Source organism: Homo sapiens, chromosome 2, assembly GCF_000001405.40.
Source record: "Homo sapiens chromosome 2, GRCh38.p14 Primary Assembly".
Classification (NCBI taxonomy): Eukaryota; Metazoa; Chordata; class Mammalia; order Primates; family Hominidae; genus Homo; species Homo sapiens.
Window position 1 is genome coordinate 207,282,048 of NC_000002.12, and position 5,198 is coordinate 207,287,245.

The window sequence follows — 5,198 nt, forward strand, 5'->3', positions numbered from 1 at the left end:
TCTTTCATGGAGCTTACCTTTGGCTGAGAAAAACAAACCAGAATCTTGTAGGGTTAATAAGTAAGAGTATTTTAGATGGTAGTAAGTGACATAAAGTAGGTAACATGTAATAGATAACTACTGGAACGGTATTGGGGGAAGTAAGTAACATAGGATAAGGTGGTCCAGGAAGCCCCCAGAGGAGTTGTTACTTGGACTAAGATCTGGGTGATAATGAGGACAGAGCCAAGCAAAGGTCAATGGGAAGAATGTCCCCATGACAGAGGGAATTGACGTGTATAAGCAGTGACATGGAAAAGAGCTTGGAACTGCATTCATGACAATACAATAGCAATATGTACATGGTTAGAGAGGTACCAAAAGAAATTGCGTCAATTTATATTATTAGTAGCATGGGGAAAATGCAAGTGGAAAAATAATCTCTGGTTTTTCCATAGGAGAGTGATTATAGTGGAAATTAGATCCAGAAAAAGCTCTCATATCATGGCCTTCATTCATAATGCAATTGAAAAATTGTGTTTGGGGAAATTCTGGAAACAAATGCCCCCAAAACTCATCAATGCCTTTCTATCATCATTTAGTACTAGGAGGGGGGTGCCAAGAAGATGTCTACTGAATTGCTAAAGCAATAAATTGAGGAGATAATCTTTTTCATGGTTGGTATGCTCAGGGGGAATAGGTCCAGCAGATAAAATGATAACTAGATTTAGTTGACAATTTGCTTTGAGTAAAATGTCGAGCTTGTAAATAATTTTAAAATAGCCTGTCATTCAATTGTGGTGTGTCCTTTAAGAAATTTTAATCGATGGAAAACACATTTCTCAAACACAGCTTCTAACCCCTGTGAAACCAGCTATTGGTTTAAACAAAAAGCTGTGACACAATCAGATCTGTGTGTGCAGTAGCTTACTAAGGAGAGTGAATTGAACTACAACCCCAGAATTTCATATTATAACAATATTCTGCAACCTAAGAATTAGCTATTGAGATGACATGTGATGTGGAAACACACAACTTGTTCAGCCCTTTTTGCTCAAGGGCACTGAGAAGCTGAGGTTTCCATCCACTCATCAGAAACAATCAACATACACATAAACTTTTGGCTGCAAATGGATTGTCTGTTTGGTATCTTTGCCAAAAGCTCAGCATTATAGAGAAAAAGAAAGTGAAAGGGAGAGAAAGGTGGAGGGAGAGGAAAGATATAGCAACTGTCTGAAATTAGGGTCTAGTGTCACCTTGAGAAGATGAACTCAAGAATAAAAATTCTACTACAGAATTTGGGGGTGGGGGAATCTCTCCTCACTCCCACAACTATCAGTAATCTAAGCTAAAATCCCTTTCTACAGTGACATCCATGTCAAAATGGGGAAGAATAGTGATCATTCTAAATGTAACATGAGCAATTTGTCGCCTTTTCCAGGCCCACTGCTTCCCCACTGTGGGTGCTGCAGAGGCAGTGGCTTTTCTTCCTCTTTCCCCTCTTCAACCCTGCCCAAGGCTGCACTGCTGGGGCACACAGCCTGGTGGCCTCCTCTGACTAAGCTGTTATTTTCCTGAAGAACTTTTTATCAAAGGAAACCAATCATTGTCCAGCCCCTGGTGTCAGGAGATGCAGCAGCAAAACCCCAAGGGCAATAGAAAGCTCTGGTTTTTTTAGGTTGAAACTCCTGGAGAAGATGTCTTGGGTTGTTTGTTTGTTTGTTTGTTTCTTGCTTGGATCTGGAGAACATTCTCTCTCTTTTTTTTCAACATTGACATGGATTATAAAGATATCATCCCAAATTGCTAGCATGGCAAATAAACCAATACAATTAGAGAATAAGGACACCTCCTGAGCATTTAACTGAGGCTGGCTAGGTGTTTATTTTTAATGAATTGATTGTCATCGATTATCAAAACATATATGTATTGATTTTATCCCTTATATCTTGGAGGCTAAATAATCTGCAAAGCTATTAATCCTGGATAGATTTAAAGATAATAGATAATGATGCATTATTCATAAATGTTGTACAGCAGGATATCCATTATACAACTGTTACTCTCTAGCAATATCACTTTCACATACATCTGTTATTATTTTATTTAAGCCAGATTGTCAGAAATTTTAGGAATGCTAATTTTTAACATTCAGCTTTATAACGAAATATCAATTCCTTTTTTTTCAGTCTAATGCAACCATGGAGACTGTATGAAGATGTTGCTTCCCTACCTGCACCTCTGGCCCGATTTACACATAAGCACACTCACAAAGATATGTCTACAGGCTGCATGGCTCTGTTATTGACTACTGAATGGTTTCCAGGCTGTCTTTGTCTCAAGGTCAATCAGACTCAAGTTCCACTTTTTTTTTTCCTCTTGTAGGAAGATTTCTTTATTGGTAAGCTGATTTAAATTCCTTTGCAGATATTGAACCAAATCTGCTCAGGCTGCAGCCTCCTGGGACCTTTCACTCTGGGCTAAATATAAATAAATACCCATATAGGACAGCTTTTGATGAAACATTAAAGATCACTCTGGTTATATGGCTTCTAGATTTTCTATTTTCTGTATGAAAAACCCATGGCGGTAAAAAGAACCTTCGCCACGGAAAGGAATAGATTTGTAAATTGCTGCCTATGGACCTCCTGGGACTTAATGGCACAGGGCAAAGAAGCAGCTGAGCTTGGCAAAGGAAGCAAGATAAATAAAATTAGCCACCAAATCAGCTCCTTTAAAAATACCAGCTGTCAACTCCCTCCAGCGTTTATGAATTTGGGGGCATGTTACTGTCACATTGTGTCTCACCCAGGACCAAGCAGCATTGCTCTTTTCAACTGGGAAAGGGTCCCTAACTCCCCTCACAGGGAAAGCTAATGCAAAAATTTGCCCTTTCTCTTTCACTCTGTCTCCCTTGTCATGTGTGCAAGGAAGAAACCAATCCAGGCCAACCAAGAGTTATTGCTATAATGATTATACTTGTCATTGTTTGTTCTTAAACTATTCACCAAGTAATCCCTTTAAAGGGTAGGGCTACTGGCTTTAGAAAGTAAATTTGCTAATGGAGATGAGAGATAAGGCTGGAAGAGCAGAAATAAGAGAAGGGCAGGAATCCTGCAATCTTTGTGGGGTGCTTGTCTCTCTATTGTAGCTCCCCAATGGGATCCAGCCTCTGCAGCTTTGGGAAAGAGCCTTGTACTACTTGACCAGGCATTGAAACTGAGGTACAGCCTCCTTCACAGGTGGAGATGGGAGACACACAACAATTTTAAAAGCTAACCTTAGCCAGGCCCTGCACTAATTGCTTTGTAAGCATTATCTCACTGAATGCTCCAAACAACCCACCAAGATGGGTAATATTATAACCCCATTTTAAAAATGAGCAAATTGAGTAGTTAAGCAGTTTGCCCACCCTCCTGGAAGACGCACCATGTAGCCTTTTATGATGTATGAGGCACCCTGCTCTTGCTGGGACTCAAGGGTGACCAGCAAACCACAGACACATTCTGGAGCCAATCAGTTATGCCCAAGCTGAAAGCATGTGCTTCCAGGTGCATGTAGATTCTTCTGGCCCGGTGAGAAATCTCTAAGCATTGCTGCATTGCTGGGCAAGTCATCCAGCGAGAATCAGCTGGAATCACACAGATCACATGGAGACCCTGGGGAAAAAAACACTGGGACAACTCCTTCTCCTTGTGTCTATTTGCAGCCAGGGGGAAGAACCGGAATGGGATCAGACACAGACTAACCATTTTAATCTTAATTTGCACCTAACTATGTACATCCTTTGGCTGGAGGCCAGGAGAATTTCCTGTTACAGTTTATAGAAGCAAAATCATTAAGTATATCTCTTATGTTGCTGTTGATTCTAAGGAAAAAAAAAGAAATCTTACAAAGCTCAGTCCATGGTTGGCACATAAAGACCATGTGTTGGCTCATTAAAATAGTAATTTTTTGTTATTGTTTATTTTTTAAAACACATGAAGCTTTTCTACTATGCTTGGATCAGAACTCTGTATAATTCACAGAAAACCACAATCATTGCACAAAAGAAAGCTTCCATTCCAAAACAGGCAGAATATCAGAATACAAACAGGCAAAATCCACACTCCACAAACTGAATGCAGGACCTGCAGTGAGTGAGCCAGAAGGGTTGGCACAATTCAGACTGGGGGGAAAAAAATCTATTTTTCCCTCAACCATAGTAAATATGAGAGTGCTTTACTCATAAAGAGCTTTCCAATGCTATTATTTTTGTTTGAGCTTCACAAGGCAATGAGGGAGATGTGGTCATCCCCCTTTCCAGATTTAGATCAGCTACGTGACTTATCCAAGGTCATGATCAGCAGTGGAGGGAACTCAGGCTACATGTGGCCAGTTATTTAGCTAGTCCAAGAAAATGGAAGTCATCGGGATTTTTCTGCCTGAATATTTAGCACAAGAGCTGGTCATGGACACCAATAAAAACACACACTCAAAAGTAACCTTTACCCTCGATGCTGTCTGGGCCCTATCCCTGGGAAGGAAGGTAAATGCCACATGTGCCTGCATTTCTCCCATCACATTCTCTGTTTCTACTAGGTGTAGTGGGGGGACAGGTTGGTGACAGTCTCTAACCCCCAAGTAACCCCTTAAAAGGGCTACTTGAAGAAAATCAGGGGAGACCAGCAACAAAGCAAGATGGGTTCCCTTTACCTTCCCATGCTGGAGTGAAAGCATTTGTCTCCCCTGATGTGGCTCCTCTCCTCACTAAATTATTATGTGAGGCACGTGGTGACAGCACAGAAGGGTTTTCCATAAATTTGAGTTTAAAGGGGATAATACTCGATGTTAAATCGTTAAATTAAATCATTCTTTACAAGACATTTTTACAATTTCAAGCCATGTTCCCAACTAGAGCTGCATAGTAAATTAATTACTGCATTAGTAGTTCATTGGTGACTATTGTAAACAATGTTTGTACTAAAAAAAATACACAGAAGTATGTTCCAAATATTTGTTCACATGTTTTGAATGCATTAAAAAGTACTTGTACTGTTTGAGGGGAGAGCATTCTTAGTAATTTTGTTGCCTGCCCCATTTTATCCTAGAAAGAGTTATATTCATCTCCCATTGGCATATAGGGTAATTTATCACAGTTGCTTATGGAGTTCTGGATAATATAACTGAGGACTTTTTAGAAGTTGAACCAGGTCAGAGAAAGTTAGTTATTAATCTAG

At 40.0% G+C, this 5,198-nt stretch overlaps 1 annotated feature.

Annotated features, from left to right (window-relative positions):
- Window positions 3,406-3,465: a silencer, noted in NCBI's record as "silent region_12274". NCBI's record gives its function as "represses an Ori minimal core promoter by ATAC-STARR-seq in GM12878 lymphoblastoid cells {active_cell/tissue: GM12878}" and the evidence as "EXISTENCE:reporter gene assay evidence [ECO:0000049][PMID:35858748]".